The 26719-nt window shown below is 37.4% G+C and overlaps 1 protein-coding gene and 1 non-coding gene across 3 annotated transcripts in view; one reads left to right on the plus strand and one right to left on the minus strand.

Annotated features, from left to right (window-relative positions):
• RAD18 (RAD18 E3 ubiquitin protein ligase) overlaps positions 1-26719 on the minus strand; it is an 86398-nt gene that overhangs the window by 35398 nt on the left and 24281 nt on the right. For both annotated transcript variants that reach the window (NM_020165.4, XM_017006873.2), the window contains 2 exons: positions 23399-23583; positions 1172-1248 (listed from right to left, as the gene is read on the minus strand). In NM_020165.4, the coding sequence (NP_064550.3) occupies positions 1172-1248; positions 23399-23583 (262 nt within the window). The remainder of the gene's footprint in view (positions 1-1171; positions 1249-23398; positions 23584-26719) is intronic.
• On the plus strand, positions 19023-19160 carry LOC124900561 (small nucleolar RNA SNORA43). The gene has a single exon (XR_007096310.1). It is a non-coding gene; the product is annotated as a small nucleolar RNA SNORA43 (small nucleolar RNA).

Genomic DNA, 26719 nt, shown 5'->3' on the forward strand with positions numbered 1-26719 from the left:
AGGAAAATGATCTCTCATCTGTTTTATATAGACCTAGGAAGAATCATTCCTATGTACTTCCCTTAAATACCAGAAATGGTATACATTTTACTCATTATTTTTTCTCATCAGTAGAAAATGCAACATGATTCAATTATATATTAACAAAATAATAAATTTTCTATTTTCAATATTTAATATCCCACATTCATTAATACAACAGGCAATATTTGAAACCAGAAGACTAACGACACTTAGCTGACTATTAGTAAGGCTGATCTTCTTGTCTGCCTTCTCTCCTTTCCAATCTAACTTCTCCAGGTCATTATAGAAAAGCAGTATGTATAGAAAATGCAATAATACAAAACACAGTAAGTTAAGCCTCTAGGTCCACTTTTTAAACCTCAGACTTAAAAGATCAGAAATCTGCTTCCATGATTCACTGCAGTTCCCATCTTACAGTTAGCACACAGGTAATAATAGGGTCAATGTAAATCCCATTTTTTTCCTACTTATTTGGTTACAAACTTACTTTCTTAAGGTAACCATTGCTTTCTCCTTACAAACACACTACAAATGGCCTAGAAAAAAAAAAAGTCTACTTGGAAGAGACCAAAACACTTTCTCCAGTGTCACAGGACACAATGACTATTTTCTTCACTGGTATCCTGTCTTCAAGTTTGGGGCATCAAGCTAGTGGAAGGCAACAGTGAAGAATTTTAGGTCTCTGATTCCCTCCAAAGCTCAAGAGAATATTCCATCCTCAAATTACTTAATTTATCCTCTTATAATTACTTAACATTTCCATAAGTATAATCATAGAATTGCAGAATGCCAGAGCTAAAAAGGGATCATAGAGGTCCCTAGCAGTAGCTTAGAGGTCCTTAGAGGTAGCTTATCAAACACAACCAGCAGAGAAAGGACCAATATCAAAGCTGCCTGATGCACAGGCACAGGCATTTTCTATAGAACTCTAGCTCATGAACAAACTCTACTTTGGATTGCATTTTGTGCTAGAAGACTGCTAAGTACAATCAAATATTGTCCTAAAATGAGTTGCAAGTAAATCATAATACACTAAGTGGAAATGTGTTAGTAAATGAATAAATTTAATAATGGCTTGCTTTAATTTTTGTAGGGTATTAAACTTTCTTCATTTCTATCCATATACTGAAATAGCCCATTAACATACACTTTCATTGAGTTTACTAGCTTCAAGACGCATCCTAGTCTTCTCTATATTTTCGATTTCTCGAACTATTTCAGCAGCTGTTAAAATAAGAAAATAACCACTAGGTTAATCACATGTCTTTTTTAATCACTGTACAATAATTATTTAAGTTGTTAACATTAGAAGAAGATGGGTGATGGGTATATGTGAACTCCCTGATCTATTTTTACAATTTTTCTGTGAATCAATTACCATTTCAAAACAAAAGGTTAAAAAAATAACATGGAGTTAAAACACTGAACTCTTACACATGCACATGCTGTTCAACGTATAACCACAAGAGTCAAGTCATTTTGCTTTCTCCTTTGAATATACAGGTCTAAACAGAAGTCTCAGTGAAATATGAAAATTAATTTTTTAGTGTGAGTTCAATTATTAGGGGATGTCTGCTCAAATTCCAATGTACTAAATGCAGTACAACAGGCTACTGTTCAAGGAGAGAAAAAGGTCTACAAATACCAGGAAAAATGTCCTTGCCTCCAGAACCTTTGTCTGTAGGTATGTTACCAATCCAATTACATACATAAAAGAGATCTGGAATACACCCTGTCAAACATTAAATGCCTTTGAATGCAAACAGCACAGAATTTGCAAATGCTATCTTTCTGCATCCAAAGTCAATACATTAAAACTGAAATGCATATGGTAGGAAATAAAAATCTACAATCCCTAACCCTCATTTATACTTAAAAATTATATCTGGAATTTGCTTCAAAATAATCCATGGAAGAAAAAGGGGTGTAAATGGTAGATAAAACAACATTCAGACAGTGTGATAATTGTTTAAGCTGGGTAGTAGGCATATGGGGAAATCAGTAAACTCTTTTCTCTATTTCTGTATATGTTTGAAATAATCCCCATTAAAGTTTTATTTTTTTTAAACCACAGACCTTATGACGATCATTTAAGAATGCAACTGTCTCAATACAAAGTTTACGTTTTCTGAGCACTGAGAGGTACCTTTTGCCTCCTTGATATTGTAAAATCAGTAGAAACAATGTAAACAATCTCTCTGTGAAGATGACCAGCTAGTGGTTCTCTCCTTTCCAAAATGAGTCATGGAATAACATGAAAAACACAGGGACCATTTGCATTCTATCCAATCCATTAATACAAGTATCACTAAAGACAGAGAACATCTGGCATGTCCTCTTGTAAGATATTAAGAAAACTAGGCCAGGCGCAGTGGCTCACGCCTCTAATCCCAGCACTTTGAGAGGCCGAAGCGGGTGGATCACGAGGTCAGGAGATCGAGACCATCCTGGCTAACACGATGAAACCCCGTCTCCACTAAAAATAAAAAAAAATTTTTTAAAATTAGCCGGGTGTGGTGGGGGGCGCCTATAGTCCCAGCTACCTGGGAGGCTGAGGCAGGAGAATGGCGTGAACCCGGGAGGCGGAGCTTGCAGTGAACTGAGATGGCACCACTGCACTCCAGCCCAGCGACAAAGCGAGACTCCGTCTCAAAAAAAAAAAAAAAAAGAAAACTATATTAGGATTGGGTAGAATTTAGTGGCTTAAATCTTCTTCAGGGAGATTTCTGATTCTGTTTAGGTTGTAGAGAGCTATAAATAATGTCACTCTCACCCTAATGACGAGAAAAAGCGGGATAACTTATAAAACTATAATTTTTCTTGAATCCATCAGAGCTAAAGTAAGAGGGCAATCAACTAGCCTGAAACCTAAACAAAGATGAGTGCCTTAGAAGAGAGAGGGATCATGAGCACTGGTTGACATAGGACAGTACACCAGAGAAAAATTGGTACCACCCTATCTCTGGGTAAGATCTCAGCTAAACTTTTTGATGAACTGCAAAAGACCAAGGGTGAGCTACCATGAAAATATAAAAATTTTGGGTGGCTTGGACACAGCGGGCATCACATCCATTTGCAGGCTATTTTCCTTTTTTTTTTTTTTTTGAGACTGAGTCTCGCTCTGTCACCCAGGACGGAGTGCAGTGGCGCGATCTCGGCTCACTGCAAGCTCTGCCTTCCGGGTTCACGCCATTCTCCTGCCTCAGCCTCCCGAGTAGCTGGGACTACAGGTGCCTGCCACCACGCTCAGCTAATTTTCTGTATTTTTAGTAGAGACAGGGTTTCACCATGTTAGCCAGGATGGTCTCGATCTCCTGACCTCGTGATCCACCCGCCTCGGCCTCCCAAAGTGCTGGGATTACAGGCGTGAGCCACCGCACCTGGCCTTGCAGGCTATTTTCTACAGACCTCAGTGGGCACCCACAAGAGTCCTCAGTCTCTCTGTAGCTCACTGGGGAAGGGCAGCAAATTAGAAAAGATCTTCCTCCAGATCCATTCCTGGCAAAAGAGAACCACCCCCACTGCAGGATGGACATGAAGCCCCAATCACATCTTTATCCCTGAAGAAAAAAAGCATTAAGCCACTGACGAAAGGTCAGCAAAAATGTTATCCCCAGAGCATCGGTTGCTGAGGGAAGTAAACAAAAACAAACAAAAAACCCCCTCTACCCTTCAGGAGGATCAGGAAACCATTCTGGGCCCTGACCCATAGAGGACCCCTGCCCCTGGCAGTGAGAGAGGGGCAGGATCGCTGAAAAAGCCCCAGCTCTGAGATGCAGGATTGAAAGACCTGCCTAAGACTGAAGCTAAATCAGAGTAACAGAGAACCCTCCTTTTCTGCCTGCCACAAACCTAGCATGATCCAAGTGATACGTAACAGCAATCTACTTCTAGGAGAGAAATGAACATGGAGAGAGACCCTCTCTGAGGCACAGGCTCATAGGGAAAACCTAAGTTGTGAGTGATATATAGCTACATTTTAAAAAAAAGTCTGGCACCTCAGACTCTTACCTACACTGTCTGGCTTTCAATCAAAACTTAAACATGAAAAAGCAGCAAATTATGATTAAGATGATACAGGATCTAGTAGAAAAGATGAACAACATACATGAACAGATGGGGCATTTCTGTAGAAATTACTTCAATGGAAATACTTTTTTTTAGAAAGAATAAAATAGAAATGTTAGATATATAGATATAGACACATAAAACCAACACAGTAACAGATAACTTGACTCAGCTAAGGAAAGAATCAGTGAACCTAAAATTGGATTGGTATTATCCAATCTGAAACACAGAGAGAGAAAAAAAGGAAAAAGAAAAAAAATTGTAACAGAACAGAGCCTCTAAGAGCTATGGGACAATATCAAGAAATATACACATAATAGAAATCACAGAAGAAGAAAAAAGGGAGGAGAAGAAATCGTTGAAGAACTGTCTAGAATTTGCCAAATATAAGAAAGACACCAAACCACAAATGCAAGAATTTCAAAGATCAAGCAACACAGATATAAAAACAAACCCAAAATGACAACAACATGCATATAGACACAAAGACAAAATCATGTGGCCATCAGAGGAAAAAGACACATTATATAAAGAAAAATCAAGAATTACATTACACTTCTCATCAGAAATTATTCAAGCCAGATAACAATAGAGTGACATCTTTAAAGCATTAGAAAAAAGCCCGCCAATCCAGAATTCTAATAAAAATATCTTTCAAAAGTGAAACACAAAAACTTTCTGAGGAAATCATAAGCTGAGAGAAAGTATTATTAGCAGCCCTCCATTACAAAAAGTATTAAAACAAGTTCTTCAATTAGAAGAACCAGAGAGAAACTTACCTAAGAAGAAATGAAAACTGGTGAAAATGGTAAACATGAAGATAAGTATAAAATATACTTTTTTCTCGTTTTTAACTACTCTAAAAGATAACTGTTTAATGGACAAACAATAGCAATGTAATGGTTTAACAGTATATGTAAAAGGAATTCATGACAATAACAATACAAAGAATTAGGAGTTGGGAGTATGCTGTTAAAAGTTTCTTACAAGTGAGGCTGTATAATTACTTGACTGTAACTAATGAAAGATGTACACTGCAAACCCTAGAGAGAACACTAAAATTTTTTGAAAAAGAGGTAAAGTAATAAGACAATAATAGAAATAAAATATAATAATAAAAATGCTCAATCCAAAAAACAGCAAAAAAAGATAACAAAAAGGAGACGGAACAAAGGAAAAAACAGCAAGATATTAAATTCAAAGCCAACTGCACCAGTATTTACATTAAAGAAAGGGTTTTAAAACACCAATTAAGAGACAGAGGATGTCAGATTGGATAAAAAAGCAAGACCAAACTATATACTATCAAAAATAACCCATTTTAAATAAAAAGATAGGTTAAAAATAAAAGTATGGAAAGAGATGTCTCATGTAAACAGTCATGAAAAGAAACCTGGAGGAGCTTTATTAATATGAGGCGCAATAGGCTCCAGAACAATGAATGTTATCAGGGATAAAGAGTGAAATTAGGGGCCGGGCGCAGTGGGTCATGCCTGTAATCCCAGCACTTTGGGAGGCCGAGGCGAGTGGATCACCTGAGGTCAGGAGTTCGAGACCAGCCTGACCAACATGGTGAAATCCCGTCCCTACTGAAAATACAAAAATTAGCACGGCATGGTGGCTCATGCCTGTAGTCCCAGCTACTTGGGAGGCTGAGGCAGGAGAATCGCTTGAATCCAGGAGGAGGAGGTTGTAGTGAGCTGAGATGGTGCCATTGCACTCCAGCCTGGGCAACTAGAGTGAAACTCCATCTCAAAAAAAAAAAAAAAAAAAAAAGGGAAATTATATCGTGATAAAAGGGTCAATTTACCAAGAAGACATAATCTTAAATGTGTTTGCCCCTAAAACAGAAATTTAAAATACATTAAAAAGTATTTCTTCTTCCAAACAAGATGGATTAGACTCATTTCTCCGCTAAGTACAACTAAAAACCCTGATATATAACAGACAACTATAAGAGAACTCTGGAAAGTAGAAAGAGGAAGATGGACTGGCTAAGATCTCAGCATGTGAGGAATGACACTGTGTGTCACCCTGGGGTGTCTTTGTATTCTGTATCTTATAGACTATGCTCTGGAGAAGTCCAGAGCCATCAAGAGAAACAGACAAAAAAGCCTCAAGAAAAATCTACTCTTTATAAGCAAAGGACTGAAAAAGAGGGTACCCAGAAACCTTGATAATACTTGACCTACCCAAGCAAAACACTGCTGATGCTCCCTGCCCTGTGCAGTATTATCAGAGAGCAAGTGGGGAGCATGGACTTCTACCCATCAACCAGAGGTGGAAGGGGTCCTAGTGCAGGATGTCCTCCCATAGCAACAATGTCAGTGGAAGCCTAGTGAGGAGCTCAGACTTCTACACCCCATCCAATGATGGCAGCTGACAACTGCACCCTCTCAACTAATAACTGAGAAGAGAATATCAAAGAGAAGGAAACTGGAGAAAAGAATTCCTTCAGCCTGTGCAGGGCATCCCCGACCAACATGTGAAATTGTTTACAATTAATATGCCAAAAGGTTTGAAAACTGAACCACAGTGTGGAATATCAGGTATTCACAACAGTCTCTAGGTAGCAATTAAATAAAGTAGACCAAAATAACATTTCAAGGGATCTGGGAACTAAATCATCATTAGAACCACAGCCTACAAAAATAGGCCAGGATCTGCATGCTAAACTTAAACAAGATGACTTCCTGCTAAATTAGAATATTTAAATAGAACCTAGAATGTCATTAGAATATAAAAAATACTCAGAATACAATTTAAAAAAAAACTTGACATATTAAGAACCAGGAAAATCACGACTCGAATGAAAAAAGACAAGATGCCAATACCTGAGACAACCCAGTTGCTGGAATTATCTGACAAGAATTTTAAAGCTACCATCATAAAAATGATCCAACAGGCAATTAATGCTCTGGAGACAAAACAAAACTGCTACAGTATGAAATACTTTTGAGAGCCTTGAAACATGTAAGTGTACATGGATTTACATGTATATATATGCATACATGCATGTGTATGTATATATGTATCCACGTGTGCGTATGTATATATATGCACATATATGCATATATTTCCCAGCTTCATCTGCTCAAATAGCCTAGAAGCAAAGACACCAAGTAGCAATGAGCATAGCTGGTAGCCATATCTTGGTTTCACCAATAAAAAGGACCAGCGCTCCTCAAAGAAATGGCTGATTTCAGGGCTGGGGCATGGAAGAGCAAGAAAAGTCTGCAATATCTTGTTATGTTAGAAATAAGAAGACGGTAATGAAAATAATGGGGGTGTATGTCATGAGGACAGGAATTAGAATGAAGACACTCCTGCTGGCCAAATGTGGAAAAATACAAACACGAAAATAATTAAGAGAAGTAATGAGTTAAAAATCTGTGAATCCATATTCATAAGAGACAAATAAGAAAATAACAAGGCAGGCCGGGCGCAGTGGCTCACGCCTGTAATCCCAGCACTTTGGGAGGCCAAGGCAGACAGATCACGAGGTCAGGAGATTGAGACCTTCCTGGCTAACACGGTGAAATGCCATCTTTACTAAAAATACAAAACATTAGCCAGGCATGGCATGCGCCTGTAGTCCCAGCTACTCGGGAGGCTGAGGCAGGAGAATGGCGTGAACCTGGGAGGCGGAGCTTGCAGTGAGCCGAGATCGTGCCACTGCACTCCAGCCTGGACGACAGAGCGAGACTCCGTCTCAAAAAAAAAAAAAAAAAAAAGAAAAAGAAAATAATAATAAGGCAGAGGGAAGGGCTCTTGTTTTCAGAATCATGCCAAGTATCAATTAGCAACTGTGAAACCAATGCTAAAGTTGAAAAATCATCATTTTGCAACTATCACAGAAAAGAATAGTTTAGAGAAAAATTACCAAAGGATGCTAAATATAGGGGTGAAATCTTAATGAGGTATAGAATAGCTACATAGTGTTGAAGTGTCTCTGCAGACTTCTTATTAGTAGCAAGGCAGCGGATGTAAAGTATAAACCAGAGAGAAACTGGCCAGGTGATCAGGCCTGATATCACAAATGAGGGGTACACAGATGTCAAATGGCTCTAGATGTAATATTCCGAAGACAAAACATCACTTATATAGTATTCTGGCCAGGAAGGCATAATCTGAATTTTCTGCCAGAATGAGAAGATTTTACTTGAAAAACACACACACACAACAAAGACTGTATTCTTTTAAAAGGCCAGTGTCATAAAAGACAAAGAAAGGCTGAGGAATTATTCTAGATTGAAAGAGATTGAAAAGATATTACCACGAAATGCAATATGTGATCCAAAACTGGATCATGTACTGCAGGAAAAAAAATCTACAAAGGTTATTATTGGGTCCACTAACAAAACTGGATAGATGAATAAAAGTATTATAACAAAGTTAAATCTACTACAAGTACTAACTACAGTGGCAATAAAAGAGAATCTTTTTTTCTTAAGAAATAATACAAGGACATATTTAGGGGTAAAGGGTAAACACTATATAACTTATTTTCAGGCAGTTAAAGAAGAAAATATGTGTGTAATTATATGGACACATACACACATTCACAGAAAAAGAGAGAAAGAGGAACAGAGTAATTCATAAAGCAAATGAGGCAAAATGCTAACAATAGGTGGATCTGTACAAAGGGTACAGTCTATGCATTCACTATGATAGTCTTTCAACTTTCCTATAAACTTCCAAATAAAAAGTTTTTTAAAAGAATGCAAAATTAAGACTTTTTCAGACAAACAGAAGCTGAGAGAATCTGTCTCAACAGCACATCTGCACTACAAGAAATATTGAATAATCCAGGCACAATGTTCATGCCTGTAATCCCTGCACTTTGGGGGGCTAAAGCAGGGGAATCTCTTGAGGCTAGGAGTTCAACATCAGCCTGGGCAACACAGTGAGACCCTGTCTCTACAAAACAAACAAACAAAAATTAGCTGGGCATGCGCTTGTAGTCCTAGCTACCTGGCAGGCTGAAACAGGAGGATTCCTGGAGTCCGAGGCTGCGGTGAACTATCATTGCGCCACTGCACTCCAACCTGGGTGACAGAGCAAGACCCTATCTTTAAAAAAAAACAAGACAGAATGAACAAATAAAGTTTTTCAGGAAATGTCCAAACACTGTGGAAATCCAGGAAAAAATGAAGTTTTTTCAGGCAAAAGAAAATGACACCAGATGAACACCCAGATCTACACAAAGAAACAAAGAATGCTGAAAATGGTAAATGTGTAGGTAAACACAGACCTTCTTTTCCATTTTTTATTTATCTTTTCCATTTTTATTTAGTTTAAAGCAAAAATAGTAACAAGGTATTATAGAGTGTTTAAAATACATAGAAGAAAAATCTATGACAAAAATAGTACAAAGAATGAAAGTCAGGGGCAGTTCCAAGATGGCCGAATAGGAACAGCTCCAGTCTACAGCTCTCAGCATGAGCGACGCAGAAGACGGATGATTTCTGCATTTCCAACTGAGGTACCAGGTTCATCTCACTGGGGATTTTCGGACAGTGGGTGCAGGACAGTGGGAGCGGTGCACCGGGAGTGAGCTGAAGCAGGGCGAGGCATCGCCTCACCGGGGAAGCACAAGGGGTCAGGGAATTCCCTTTCCTAGCCAAGGAAAGGGATGACAGATGGCACCTGGAAAATTGGGTCACTCCCACCCTACTACTGCACTTCTCCAACGGTCTTAGCAAACAGCGCACCAGGAGATTATATCCCGTGCCTGGCTCGGAGGGTCCTACGCCCACAGAGCCTCGCTCATTGCTAGCACAGCAGTCTGAGATCAAACTGCAAGGTGGCAGTGAGGCTGGGGGAGGGGTGCCTGCCATTGCTGGAGGCTGGGAAGCTCAAACTGGGTGGAGCCCACCACAGCTCAAGGAGGCCTGCCTGCCTCTGTAGACTCCACCTCTGGGGGCAGGGCATAGCCAAACAAAAGGCAGCAGAAACCTCTGCAGGCTTAAATGTCCCTGTCTGACAGCTTGGAAGACAGCAGTGGTTCTTCCAGCATGCAGCTTTAGATCTGAGAATGGACAGACTGCCTCTTCAAGTGGGTCCCTGAACCCCAAGTAGCCTAACTGGGAGGCACCTCCCAGTAGGGGCAGACTGACACCTCACACGGCCAGGTACCCCTCTGAAACAAAACTTCCAGAGGAACAATCAGGCAGCAACATTTGCTGTTCACCAATATTTGCTGTTCTGCAGCCTCCGCTGGTGATACCCAGGCAAACAGGGTCTGGAGTGGACCTCTGGCAAACTCCAACAGACCTGCAGCTGAGGGTCCTGACTGTTAGAAGGAAAACTAACAAACAGAAAGGTCATCCACACCAAAACCCCATCTGTACGTCACCATCATCAAAGACAAAAGGTAGATAAAACCACAAAGATGGGGAAAAAACAGCAGAAAAGCTGAAAATTCTAAAAATCAGAGCGCCTCTCTTCCTCCAAAGGAATGCAGCTCCTCACCAGCAACAGAACACAGCTGGACAGAGAATGACTTCGACGAGTTGAGAGAAGAACGCTTCAGATGATCAAACTTCCCCGAGCTAAAGGAGGAAGTTCAAACCCATGGCAAAGAAGTTAAGAACCTTGAAAAAAGATTAGACGAATGGCTAACTAGAATAACCAATGCAGAGAAGTCCTTAAATGACCTGATGGAGCTGAAAACCATGGCACAAAAACTACGTGACGAATGCACAAGCCTCAGTAGCCGATTCGATCAATTGGAAGAAAGGGTATCAGTGATGGAAGATCAAATGAATGAAATGAAGCAAGAAGAGAAGTTTAGAGAACAAAGAATAAAAAGAAATGAACAAAGCCTCCAAGAAATATGGCACTATATGAAAAGACCAAATCTACGTCTCACTGGTGTACCTGAAAGTGACGGGGAGAATGGAACCAAGTTGGAAAACACTCTGCAGGATATTATCCAGGAGAACTTCCCCAGTCTAGCAAGGCAGCCCAACATTCACATTCAGGAAATACAGAGAACGCCACAGAGATACTCCTCGAGAAGAGCAACTCCAAGACACATAATTGACAGATTCACCAAAGTTGAAATGAAGGAAAAAACGTTAAGGGCAGCCAGAGAGAAAGGTCGGGTTACCCACAAAGGGAAGCCCATCAGACTAACAGCTGATCTCCTGGCAGAAACTTTACAAGCCAGAAGAAAGTGGGGGCCAATATTCAGCATTCTTAAAGAAAAGAATTTTCAACCCAGAATTTCATATCCAGCCAAACTAAGCTTCGTAAGTGAAGGAGAAATAAAATACTTTACAGACAAGCAAATGCTGGGAGATTCTGTTACCACCAGGCCTGCCCTAAAAGAGCTCCTGAAGGAAGCACTAAACGTGGAAAGGAACAACCAGTACCAGCCACTGCAAAAACATGCCAAATTGTAAAGACCATCAAGGCTAGGAAGAAACTGCATCAACTAACAAGCAAAATAACCAGCTAACATCATAATGACAGAATCAAATTCACACATAATATTAACTTTAAATGTAAATGGGCTAAATGCTCCAATTAAAAGACACAGACTGGCAAATTGGATAAAGAGTCAAGACCCATCAGTGTGCTGTATTCAGGAAACTCATCTCACATGCAGAGACACACATAGGCTCAAAATAAAGGGATGGAGGAAGATCTACCAAGCAAATGGAAAACAAAAAAAGGCAGGGGTTGCAATCCTAGTCTCTGATAAAACAGACTTTAAACCCACAAAGATCAAAAGAGACAAAGTAGGCCATTACATAATGGTAAAGGGATCAATTCAACAAGAAGAGCTAACTATCCTAAATATATATGCACCCAATACAGGAGCACCCAGATTCATAAAGCAAGTCCTTAGAGACCTACAAAGAGACTTAGACTCCCACACAATAATAATGGGAGACTTTAACACCCCACTGTCAACATTAGACAGATCAACGAGACAGAAAGTTAACAAGGATATCCAGGAATTGAACTCAGCTCTGCACCAAGCAGACCTAATAGACATCTACAGAACTCTCCACCCCAAATCAACAGAATATACACTCTTCTCAGCACCACATCACACTTATTCCAAAATTGACCATAGTTGGAAGTAAAGCACTCTTCAGCAAATGTAAAAGAACAGAAATTATAACAAACTATCTCTCAGACCACAGTGCAATCAAACTAGAACTCAGGATTAAGAAACTCACTCAAAACCGCTCAACTACATGGAAACTGAACAACCTGCTCCTGAATGACTACTGGGTACATAACGAAATGAAGGCAGAAATAAAGATGTTCTTTGAAACCAATGAGAACAAAGACACAACATACCAGAATCTCTGGGACACATTTAAAGCAGTGTGTAGGGGGAAATTTATAGCACTAAATGCCCACAAGAGAAAGCAGGAAAGATCTAAAATTGACATCCTAACATCACAATTAAAAGAACTAGAGAAGCAAGAGCAAACACATTCAAAAGCTAGCAGAAGGCAAGAAATAACTAAGATCAGAGCAGAACTGAAGGAAATAGAGACACAAAAAACCCTTCAAAAAATCAATGAATCCAGGAGCTGGTTTTTTGAAAAAATCAAGAAAATTAATAGACTGCTAGCAAGACTAATAAAGAAGAAAAGAGAGAAGAATCAAATAGACGCAATAAAAAATGATAAAGGGGATATCACCACCGATCCCACAGAAATACAAATTACCATCAGAGAATACTATAAACACCTCTACACAAATAAACTAGAAAATCTAGAAGAAATGGATAAATTCCTCGACACATACACACTCCCAAGACTAAACCAGGAAGAAGTTGAATCTCTGAATAAACCAATAACAGGCTCTGAAATTGAGGCAATAATTAATAGCCTACCAACCAAAAAAAGTCCAGGACCAGACAGATTCACAGCCGAATTCCACCAGAGGTACAAGGAGGAGCTGGTACCATTCCTTCTGAAACTATTCCAATCAATAGAAAAAAAGAGAATCCTCCCTAACTCATTTTATGAGACCAGCATCATCCTGATACCAAAGCCTGGCAAAGACACAACAAAAAAAGAGAATTTTAGACCAATACCCCTGATGAACATCGATGCAAAAATCCTCAATAAAATATTGGCAAACCGAATCCAGCAGCACATCAAAAAGCTTATCCACCATGATCAAGTGGGCTTCATCCCTGGGATGCAAGGCTGGTTCAACATATGCAAATCAATAAATGTAATCCAGCATATAAACAGAACCAATGACAAAAACCACATGATTATCTCAATAGATGCAGAAAAGGCATTTGACAAAATTCAACAGCCCTTCATGCTAAAAACTCTCAATAAATTAGGTATTCATGGGACGTACCTCAAAATAAGAAGAGCTATTTATGACAAACCCACAGCCAATATCATACTGAATGGGCAAAAACTGGAAGCATTCCCTTTGAAAACTGGCACAAGACAGGGATGCCCTCTCTCACCACTCCTATTCAACATAGTGTTGGAAGTTCTGGCCAGGGCAATTAGGCAGGAGAAGGAAATAAAGGGTATTCAATTAGGAAAAGAGGAAGTCAAATTGTCCCTGTTTGCAGATGACATGACTGTATATCTAGAAAACCCCATCGTCTCAGCCCAAAATCTCCTTAAGCTGATAAGCAACTTCAGCAAAGACTCAGGATACAAAATCAATGTGCAAAAATCACAAGCATTCTTATACACCAATAACAGACAGAGAGCCAAATCATGAGTGAACTCCCATTCACAATTGCTTCAAAGAGAATAAAATACCTAGGAACCCAACTTACAAAGGATGTGAAGGACCTCTTCAAGGAGAACTACAAACCATTGCTCAATGAAATAAAACAGGATACAAACAAATGGAAGAACATTCCATGCTTATGGGTAGGAAGAATCAATATCATGAAAATGGCCATACTGCCCAAGGTAATTTATAGATTCTATGCCATCCCCATTAAGCTACCAATGACTTTCTTCACAGAATTGGAAAAAACTACTTTAAAGTTCATATGGAATCAAAAAGGAACCCGCATTGCCAAGTCAATCCTAAGCCAAGAGAACAAAGCTGGAGGCATCATGCTACTTGACTTCAAACTATACTACAAGGCTACAGTAACCAAAACAGCATGGTACTGGTACCAAAACAGAGATATAGACCAATGGAACAGAACAGAGCCCTCAGAAATAATGCCGCATATCTACGACTATCTGATCTTTGACAAACCTGACAAAAACAAGAAATGGGGAAAGGATTCCCTATTTAATAAATGGTGCTGGGAAAACTGGCTAGCCATATGTAGAAAGCTGAAACTGGATCCCTTCCTTATACCTTATACAAAAATTAATTCAAGATGGATTAAAGACTTAAATGTTAGACCTATAACCATAAAAACCCTAGAAGAAAACCTAGGCAATACCATTCAGGACATAGGCATGGGCAAGGACTTCATGTCTAAAACACCAAAAGCAATGGCAACAAAAGCCAAAAATGACAAATGGGATCTAATTAAACTAAAGAGCTTCTGCACAGCAAAAGAAACTACCATCAGAGTGAGCAGGCAACCTACAGAATGGGAGAAAATTTTTGCAATCTACTCATCTGACAAAGGGCTAATATCCAGAATCTACAATGAACTCCAACAAATTTACAAGAAAAACACAAACAAACCCATCAAAAAGTGGGTGAAGGATACGAACAGACACTTCTCAAAAGAAGACATTTATGCAGCCAAAAGACACATGAAAAAATGCTCACCATCACTGGCCATCAGAGAAATGCAAATCAAAACCACAATGAGATACCATCTCACACCAGTTAGAATGGCAGTCATTAAAAAGTCAGGAAACAACAGGTGCTGGAGAGGATGTGGAGAAATAGGAACACTTTTACACTGTTGGTGGGACTGTAAACTAGTTCAACCATTGTAGAAGTCAGTGTGGCAATTCCTCAGGGATCTACAGCTAGAAATACCATTTGACCCAGCCATCCCATTACTGGGTATATACCCAAAGGATTATAAACCATGCTGCTATTAAGACACATGCACACATATGTTTATTGTGGCACTATTCACAATGGCAAAGACTAGGAACCAACCCAAATGTCCAACAATGATAGACTGGGTTAAGAAAATGTGGCACGTATATACCATGGAATACTATGCAGCCATAAAAAATGATGAGTTCATGTCCTTTGTAGGGACATGGATGAAGCTGGAAACCATCATTCTCAGCAAACTGTCGCAAGGACAGAAAGCCAAACACCGCATGTTCTCACTCATAGGTGGGAACTGAACAATGACAACACTTGGACACAGGAAGAGGAACATCACACACTGGGGCCTGTTTTGGGGTGGGGGGAGTGGGGAGGGATAGCATTAGGAGATATACCTAATGTAAATGACGAGTTAGTGGGGGCAGCACACCAACATGGCACATGTATACATATGTAACAAACCTGCACGTTGTGCACATGTACCCTAAAACTTAAAAAAAAAAAAAAAAAAGAATGAAAGTCTTAAGGTCCTTCCATTATACATGAAGTAGTGTACTATTCATTGAAGGTAGACTGAGATAAGTTAAAAATGCATATAGTAAACTAGAACAATCACCCCTACAAAAAAACAAAAAGAAGTATAGCTCGTAAAATGAAGATAACATAAAAAACTAAAAAATACTCAGTTAATCCAAAAAAAAGCAGGAAATGAAGAAAAAACAAAAGAATGATAGAACAGCAAACAAGCAAGATGGCAGATATAAACCCAACCAAATAGAATAAATGAAATTAAAATAGTTTAAACCCTACAATTTAATGGTAGAGCTTGTCAAATTAAATTATAAAATAAAATCCAAACCATATACGGCTTACAATAAAACACAGCTTAAACATAATGGTATAATAGGTTTAAAGAAAAATGAAATAAAGTAGCTGCTATACTCATATCAGATAGATTTTTGAGGCAAGGAATATTACCAGAGACAAAGACATATATGCCATAATAATAAACAGGCTAACTAATCAAGAAGATACATAATAATACTAAGAGATTCAAAATATAACAAAACTGAAAATATTGACAGGGAAAATGAAAAATCTATAAATATAGTTGGATATTTCAAAAAGCTTCTCAGTAATTGATAGAATCAGTAAACAGAATATCAGCAAGGATGCTGAAGACTTGAATATACTATCAAGTAAATTTACATAGCATTTACAGATCACTGCACAAAAAAGCAAACTTTTCAAGTATTTATGCAATATTCACCAGGAAGACCTAACACCTAAGTTATGAAGCATGTCTCAGTAAATGTGAAAGGTCTGAAATGATACAGAACAGGTTCTTTGGCCAACATTGAATTAAATTAGAAATGAATAATAAAAAGGTATCTAAGAAATAACCAAAATCTTTAAAAATTAAACAATACTTCTATTTAACATATGAATCAAAGAAGAATACACAACAAAAATTAGAAAATATTTTAACTGGATGGGAAGGTAAATACAACCTATCAATGTCTGTGAATAGAGGTAAAATAGCACTTAGACAAAAATCTGTATTTTAAATACATCGAGAACAATCTGAAATTATCTAAACTTCCACCATAATAAGCTAAAAAAAGAAGAGCAAATTAAACCTAAAGTAAGTAGAAAGAAGGAAATCATAAAAGACTGGAATTCAATGAAATAGGAAAACAGACAAAAACTGAGAAAAAGCAATTTGAGAAAAATGAAGCTGAAGGATGATTCTTTAGAAAAACGAGAAAAATTAATAACTTATAGGTAGAACAATCAGGAAAAAAGAAGACACATTTTCAGTATAGAAAATGAAAGACAGTAAATCACCACAAACCCCATAGATATTAAAAGGTTAACAAGAAAATGTTACTTAAAAAAACAAAAACAAAAAGAACCCTCTGGCTATAGATTCAACAACTTAGATGAAATGAACACATTCCTTGCTAAAGATGAATGGTTAGTTTAATATTCAAAAATTAATCACTGTAATGTAAATCAATACCACACCCACTAGGAAAAAGACAGACTAACAGGTGTTGGCAAGGACATGGAGCAACTGGAATTAATTTTTTTTTTTTTTTTGAGACGGAGTCTCACTCTGTTGCCCAGACTGTAGTGCAATGGCACGATCTCAGCTCACTGCAACCTCCGCCTCCTGGGTTCACCCAATTCTCCTGTCTCAGCCTCCTGAGTAGCTGGGATTACAGGCGCCTGCCACCACGCCCAGCTAATTTTTTGTATTTTAAGTAGAGACGGGGTTTCACCCTGTTGGCCAGGCTGGTCTCCAAATCCTGACCTCAGGTGATCCACCTGCCTCGGCCTCCCAAACAAAGTGCTGGGATTACAGGCATGAGCCACTGCGCCCGGCACAGCTGGAACTCTTATACACTGCTAGTAGGATGTAAAATGGTGTAGCCACTTTGGACAATAGTCTAGCAATTCCTCAAAATGTTAAAATAGAATTACCATACTACTCAGCAATTCTACTCTTAGGTAAAGACACAATAGAAATGAAAACATATGTCGACATAAAAATTTGTACATAAATGTTCATAACAGCATTATTTATAATAGCCAAAAAGTGGAAAAATGTCAGATTTGAACTAATGAACAGACACAAAGATGTGACATATTCATACAATGGAATATTATTTGGCAATGAAAAATAAGTGAGTATTGACCACAGATAAACCTTGAAAACATTATACTAAGTGAAAGAAGTTAGTTTATAAAAGGCCACATGCTATATGGTTCCACTTAAATGGAATATCCAGAATAGACAACTCTATAGAGACAGAAGTAAATTAGTGGCTATCTAGGGCTGGAAGGGTTGGTAGATAATGATGCTAATGGATACTGGGCTCTTTTCAGGGTAACAAAATGTTCTAAAATTTAATATGATAGTTGTACAACTCTGTGAATATACTGAAAACCACTGAACTGTATGTACACTTCAGGTGGGTATGAATTATATCTCAGTATTATATGAATTATATTTCAATAAACTGATTAATACTCAATGTTATAAATCATATCACAAAATAAATAAAAATATAATAATCTCAATAGATGTAGAATAAGGAAATGACAATTCAACACGCCTTCATAATAATAAACTAGGAAGGGAAGAAATGTCCTCAACCTCATAAAAGGCATCTATGAAAACCTATCACACTTAATAGTGAAAGACTAAATGTTTTACCTATAAGTTGGGGTATTCCAGAATTAAAAGAACATATATTGATGCAATAGTACTGTCACTCAAATGATTTTTGAAGGCAATTATTCTTCCTTCTGGGGAGACAGACCCTTGAAAAATCAGATGAAAGTCAGAGATCCTTTCTTAAGAAATTCATTTAAAAAAAAGATTGGAGAAAGGAAAGGATGTTTGCCCACACCACTTTTATTCCACATCACACTGGAGGTTCTAACCAATGCAACTAACCAAGGGTAGAAAGATAAATAAAAGGCATATCGACTGAAAAAAATAAATAAATAAAACTGTTTTTATTGGCATGTAACTTGATTGTGTATATAAAAATCCTATGAAATCTATAAAAAAGCAATTAGAAATGAGTTTCACTAGTTAATAGTATACAAGTAAATATACAAAAATAAATGTCAAAATGACTCTTTAAAATAGTAATAAACAATGAGAAATAAAAATTTTAAAACTACTCACAATAGCACCAAAAGACATGAAATATTTAAGGATACATTTAACAAAATACATGGAACACACACACATAAAAAAGTAGACAGCACTACTGAGAGAAAGTAAAGGAGGCCTAAAGAGCCATACCACGACTGTGCATTAAAAGTCTTAATATTGTTAAGATATCATTTCTAAGCTGATCTATGTAATCTCACTCAAAATCCCAAAAGGTACACACTAATAAACTGACTGCCCTGCAGATGCTGTCCTGGACCTGCCAGCTGCACAGATGCAGATGCTCTGCTATGCCTGTAACATCGGGGCGAAGTGAAAGTGGCTATTTCTACACTCAGTGTTCAGAAAACACTGAACAACAAGAATGGATAATAGCCTGACATTTCTTAGGGGAACAACAACAACAAAACTGAGTCTAACATTTATGTGGGATTGCAAAGGACCTAGAACAATTTTGAGAACACAGTTGAAGGACTTATACTACCTGATAATTTTAAGACTTACTATAAAGTTACAGAAATCAAGAGTGTGTCATGAGTGAAAGGACAGATATATAGATCAGTGGAACAGAATAGATTCTAGATAGATTCACATGCTATATACATGGCCGTTAGGATTTGACAATGAGGGCAAAGTAATTCAATGGGGAAAGGATAGTCTTTTTAACAAATGGTGCTGAAAAACTAGATATACATATTTTTTAAATAAACTTTGACATTTGACATTTACCTTCCACCATACAGAAAAACTAAATGAAAATGGATCATAGATTTAAATATAAAAGCGAAAATTATAAAACTCCTAGAAAATAACACAGGAGAAATTTTTTGTGATCTTAGGATAAGCAAATATTTTGTTGACATGCAACACAATTGTATACATAAAAAATCATGAAATGATACACAAGAAGCATAAATCATAAAAAAAGTAAATTAAATTTCGTCAAAATTAAAACTCTCTGCTCTTCAAAGACATCATTAAGAAAATGACAAGGTAAGCCACATACAAAGATAAAATATTCACAACACATATATTTTAAAAATTCAGTATCCAGAATATATAAATAACTTACAAATCAATAAAAAGAGTTAAGGGGCAGAATATTTCAACCAAGCCTTTATCAAAGAAAATATACAAATAGCAAATAAAACTATCAAAAGACAGCAGACACCACTAGTCACAGGAAAATGCAAATTAAAACCATCATGAGATACCACTACTACACATTGACTAGAATGGCTAAAATTAAGAAGAATGAAAATACCAAGTGTTAGCAAGGGTGTGGCAAAAGTGGGACTCTCTCACAATGCAAAATGATTCAGTCATTTGAAAAACTGTATGGCAGGTTCTTATAGTTACATTTACCATATGACCAGCAATTCCACTCCACCCAAGAGAAATGAAAACATATGGTTACATAAAGACCTGTGAACCCATGTTCATAACAGCTTTACTGATAATAAAAAAACTGGACACAGTCCAGTTGTCCATCAACAGGTGAAGGGATATACAAATTGTGGCATGGCTATAAAGCAGAACACTGCTTGGCAATAAAAAATAAATGCACTGGCTGGGCACGGGGGCTCATGCCTGTAATCCCAGCATTTTGGGAGGCAGAGGCGGGCAGATCACAAGGTCAGGAATTCAAGACTAGCCTGGCCAATATGGTGAAACCCCATCTCTACTAAAAATACAAAAATTAGCCGGGCGTGCTGGCAGGCACCTGTAGTCCCAGCTACTCGGGAGGCTGAGGCAGGAGAATCGCTTCAACCTGGGAGACGGAGGTTACAGTGAGCCGAGATCGCGCCATTGCACTCCAGCCTGGCCGACAGAGAGAGACTCTGTCTCAAAAATAAATAAATAAATAAAATAAAATAAAAAATAAATGCACTACTGGTAAAAGCAACAACATGGAAAAATCTCAAAAGTATTATGCTAAGTGACAGATACCATATGTAAAATGCTACATACTATACAATTTGTGTAATTCCACTTATGTGACAGTCTAGAAAAGGTAAAATTATAGGGACAAAAAAAGAGATCAGTGTTTCCTGAGGTCTTAGAGTAAAAGAGAGGGAATATACAGCAAAGGGGCACTGGAACTTTTGCTGATGAAGGAAATGTTCTACATTTCAGTTAGAGCAATGGCTAAATGACAATATACATTTGCCTAAATTCATCTAACTATACACTTTCAAAGGATGTATTACATGTGAGTAAGTTATACATCAATAAAAAGGGCACATACAAAAAGCGACAAGCCATTGGATATAAGGAAACTATAGAAAAACCAGTTGTATTTTTGTGTACAAGCAACTAATAAAAATTGACATTTTAGAATAAAACATCGTGTACCACTGCATCAAAAATATCAGAGAATAACTCTTTAAAAAGATGTGTGAGACCTTCACACTGAAAATTGCAAAACATTACTGACAAAAATCAAAGACAAAAAAGGGGACAAACCATATTCATGAATTGGAAGACTCAAATACTATACAGATATCAACTATCTCAAAATTGATCTATAAATTCAATGTAATCCCAATTTAAAAACTTATATGGAAATACAAAAGGCCTAGAAAAAACAAGTCAACCTCAATAAACAAAACTGGAAGAACTATATTACCAGACAGCAAGACCTATTATAAATTACTCATAAAGTACTTAAGACACACATTATTTATCCTGCTCAACGGTAAATAATAGCCCAATGGAACAAAACAATGTCCAGGCCTACACATGTACAATTAGCTGATTCTCAGCCAAGACTTCTGGCAATTCAGTGGGAGAAGGGATGGCATTTCAATGAGTGGTGCTGCATCAATTGGTTATTCATATGGAAAGAAAACAAGACAATCTTGTCCTCTACCTCACAACATATGCTAAAATCAATTCCAGATAAACCGTACATCAAAATTTAGGAGCAAGAACAATAAAGTTTTAAAAGAAAACAAGAGAAGATCCACATGATCTTGAAGTAGGCTAAGGCAAAGCACTGATCAAAAGGAAAAATGTAATGAATTGGACTATTTTAGGAACTTCTACTCTTCAATGATGCCATTAAGAGAGTGAAAAGGTGAAATTAGAAATGTACATACATCCAGCAAAAGATTTTTATCCAGGAAATTTCAATTACTCCCACAAATAAGAATAAAAATAGGCCCACAGAACAGAAGAATTGGACATAGATTTAAACAGGTATTTCACTACAGAGGACATCCAGATGGCCAACAAGCATATAAAATTTATAAGTCATTAAGGAAATGCAAATTAAAATAACAAGGTACTACCATGGACCCACTAGAATGGCTAAAATGGAGAGTTAACAGTGGTGATGTTGTCAAGGGTGCAGAACAACTGACACCCTCACACCCTCCTGATGAAAGTGTACATGACTACTGAATTTGGGGCTGTATCCATGAAAGCTGAATATCTGCAAATATATAACACCAATTCCATTCCTGTATATATATATCCAACAGCAACATGCACCTATGTGCACCACAAGATATATAAAAGATTATTTGTAGCAGCATTATTAATAGAGGAAAAGTGGGAACAAAATGAAATGTTTATTAAACACTGAATGGATAAGATGATACGTTTATACAATGGAATACCATATAGCAACAAAAATGAAAAAAACATGACCATATAAAAAAACATGAATGAATCTTATAATGTTGCACAAATGAGGGCAGGCACAAAAGAATACATAAGCTATTGGCCCTTTATTTAAAGATCAAACATAGGCAAAATGAACATATGGGGTTAGAAGTCAAGACAGTGGTCAAATGTGAGAATGAAGGAGTGAATGGGAGGGGGCAGATAGGGCTTTTGGGACGCTGGTAGTGATCTCAGTACTGGCTACAATGACATTTCACTTTATGAAATTTAGTTTGTGATAATTCACCAAACAATACACTTATAATTTGTGTGTTTTAATGTTTGCATGTTATTCTCCAAGTTTTTAAAAATTAGGCAATTCTATATGTTAATAGAAAGAACTCCAATGTATGTGTGTGGTTTAATGAAAAGAACCAACCACTAAATAGTGCACTACACAGAATACTATCATTTTGTAAAAACAGTAATGAAAAGGATATATGTTTGTGTACAATAATCATAATGGCAACATTTACTGAAAGCTAACTACTTGCTAAGGTACTGTGTTAGGCACTTTTCATGCCTTTTATCATTTATTTCACTCAACATTATGAAGTGGGTAGTTATTATAACCCTTATTTTATGAAGGAGAAAACTGAGGTACAGAGATATCAAGTAACGTGCCCACAGTCACCAAGCCACAAAGCTGAAAAACGGGCACTGTAACCCAGGCTCTCCAGATCCACTCTTCCCCACCACATTCTCCCTAGATAGGCACATGAGAAACTGGCAATGGGGTGCCTCTGAGAAGGGATCTGGGGATTGGAAGGCAGGCTGAGAGGAAGGCTGGCTTATCATAGCATACTCTAGGTACCTTTTGAAGGAACACATTTGCACGTCTTATCTATCAAAAATGTATTTATTTACAATATTTTTCTATGGTTTATAATTTCTGAGCTACACAAAATTGCTTTATCCAGAAAGTAAGCATAACTCACTGTTTTATTACTTTACCTGATTTAGGATGCAAAGCATCGCATTGGGCATTGTACATGTGTACAAATTCTTGGTGCCTTTTAATGAGCTGTTGTTTATTTCCTTGAATAGATAATCCATGCTCTTTTAGCTTTTTCTTTAAATCACGATCAGAGAGCAAATTATATACAGTTTTGGGCAGCGGCTTCCTTTTGTGAACAGAACTGAAAAGGGGGGAAGATACCTGATGATTATTGTGAATTATCAAATGCTTTTCATGTAAAATGGCAAATAAATTCTGATTCAACACCTGGGTGACCGGGAAAATAGTAGAACCATTAGATTAAAAAGGGGAGAGAAAAATCAAGTTTGTGGATAAAGTTGAGTGTCTGACATGATGTATCTGAGGTGCTGGTAAGACATTCAGACACAGGGGCCTAGGTGGCACCAGAAGTGAGAGACTTGGGTCTCAAAAAGAGGTCAGACCTAAAGAGGCACACTTAGAAGACATATATGTAACGCTTGTGGAATATGCTGTGAGGACTTCACTTAGAATCACACTTACATAGACCTATTCAATTTTCCACCTCTTTAAAGCATGCTAGAAATTCTAGTGGGCTAAAATTCAAGCTACATAAAAGTACCAATGACTTAAGCAATTCCATAAACAGGAACTTCTTAGTGAGTTTTAATTCATTTCACCTGATTATAGCAGGTTCTCTACCTGGCTCAGCTTTATGGCAATTAGATGCTTAACAAAAATGTGCTCAAGGAGGTCATTACACTTGCTATCATTTCAAAATAAGAATAGCAAAGATTCAGGTGAAAATTAACAGAAACTTGAAATAATAGGTTTATCCAAAAAACAAGTTTTTACAAAGGATTTGCATATAACTAGCTCACACAAGGCTGTCCCAAACGTTAGTGTACCTAAGAAGCACCTAAAGAGTTTATTTAAAACGCAGATTCTCCATCCCCTTCTCCACACCATCCACCAATTAGGGTTCAGGTCTGAAGTGGAGCTCTAAAATCTCTATTTTCAACAAGGTTCTCCAGAGTAAATCTGATATAAACGGTCCAATAATCAAACAGAGAAATATTACAGTCAGGTATAGACTGAAAACAATCAAAAATTTCTCTATTAACCAACAGAGCCATTCCCCAAATAAATTATGTCTTTTATGCTGTATTAACAAAGTCTAAAAGCCAGAAATAACTAATTAACTGTGAAAAGACCTGCAAACTCTCAATAGATTATATTTTTCTGAAAATTGCTCTTCTTACAATGACAACCCATCTGACTCTACAAGGTTGATAAAATTATGGCAAAATGAAATCTCAGTAGGTAGCAACAGCTGAATCATTTTGTGTTTACAGAAGCACACAGGGAGAGATGATTCATTACGTCTGTATCTAAAATATTTGTTTTATCAAGGACAGATGATTAAACTGTGACTGTGAAATTCCAGTGAAGAACTGTACTGTTCACTGGCATTTACAATAAAAAGCACCACCAGAGATCAACAATTTCTATCAGGAATTTTAAAACATGAAACCTGATAAATGTTTCCCCAAACACGAAAATGACATTGATTTTTCTTCCATGATTTAGTGGAACTGAGTAATACATTTAAGGGGCCTCAGAATCTGAGGCAGTTCTGACATGGTTTTATATAGAAGGGTTAAGGGCTGCCACTCACATTCAGCAGATGGCCTGTCAGAATATTGTGGAGGAGACAGGAAAACTCACAGGGCCTTTTCTCTATGACCTGACTCCGTGGCCAAGATACAACTAAAGAAGAACATGGCCCAGTGTTGTCTTCAGAATCTCCACAAACACCAGTTTTGTAAGATGGAAGTGATGAGAACAGAAAGGCTTGGCGGTCAAATAAATTTAGGATTACTAAATTAAACAAAACCTAACAGTAACCCTTAATGTAGGACTTCTCAAAGCCTTTAACACACTAAGAGGGGGATCCAGGAGGTAGTGCTTATAAGTTCACTACAGAGCACTGGCAGGACTATAGTGTTCTTTGAAGCAGGAATTTAAACCACTATTAGAACTTAATTACACATGGACGAGTATGTCTTCAAACAAACTGACAGCATCAGAAATGATGTATCAGAAATGTATTCGAACTGATGGATGGATCTAGAAAAAGGGGAGTCCATGCAAGATAATCAGTGCAGATTCCTTACTCTTCCAAAAGAATATACTCAGCTTCTATATTCCCAACTCATGCATTTCTAAAGAGAAAAGCAGTTCATCAAACTCTCGTGGCTTATGGGAAATAATCCTTAGGACTATTCATTTACTCCAAATCACCACTAAGCAACCTAAAAATCTAAATTTTATTCTCATTAACAAACTTACCCACTAGGTGGGAGTACTGTGCATGTAAAACTGCCCCAGGTTTGGACTCAAGTATGTCTACCTTAATAAAGCACCATTGTGTCTTATATGTTAGCTTTTGTAAGTTGTAACAGTATGAATCTGACCCTCAGAATCTGCATTCACTCCAAATTTACTCATAAAAATTAAGTGATGTATTTTCTTTAATCACAAAAAATAATACTATGGCTCTGTCTTATTAACATGGTTTTTGGAAAATACTCTTCAAAGTCCTTCAAAACAGACTGAACATAGAAGCAAATCATTCTTTCATCCCCACTTCTCAGATACCATTAATTTCTTCAGCTTCCCTCCTCTTCTTTTCCAAATCTCTCTGAATTATCACCTATTATCTTGCCCTTGCCTCCTGTTTCAGAAGGGTCCTTTCTGCATGTCAAGGATAACCTCATTACTGGGCTCTTGTGCTCCTCACTTTCTTCCATTTATCCTCTGCTCTCTCCCTGGAAATAGTGGAAGGAAAGAGACTGAAGGCTTAAACTCCTATTTTTAAAAAGAACAACCCTTGATCTTTATGCCACTCACTGCTTCTCCAAACTACCATCTCATCTTTCTCCCTTCATCACCAGACTCATCTAAATTGTGTCTTCTGCTTATTATCCACTGATTCCGTAATGCCTTGCAATTTAAGTTTGACTAGTATTTCATTCCTGAACAACTTATATGTGTAACAATAGTGGACTAGCATGAGAAATTACAGTTATTTTCATGTACAAGGGAGGTAGAACAGCACAGTTGTTTAGATGTAAATACTGAGCTGACAATTTATTAGCTACAATACCTGGAGGATGGGGGGGTGGTGTGGGGTATGACATTACATTTCATATATGCATTTTTGTACCTTTTTATATCATATATATTTATATAATTTCCTAGTCAAAATTTTTTGAAAAATTCAATTTTAAATTTTAAAACTTCTGAGCATCCTAAAGATCAGAGAAAGGTTTTTT

The sequence above is a fragment of the Homo sapiens genome, chromosome 3, assembly GCF_000001405.40.
Source record: "Homo sapiens chromosome 3, GRCh38.p14 Primary Assembly".
NCBI classification, from domain to species: domain Eukaryota; kingdom Metazoa; phylum Chordata; class Mammalia; order Primates; family Hominidae; genus Homo; species Homo sapiens.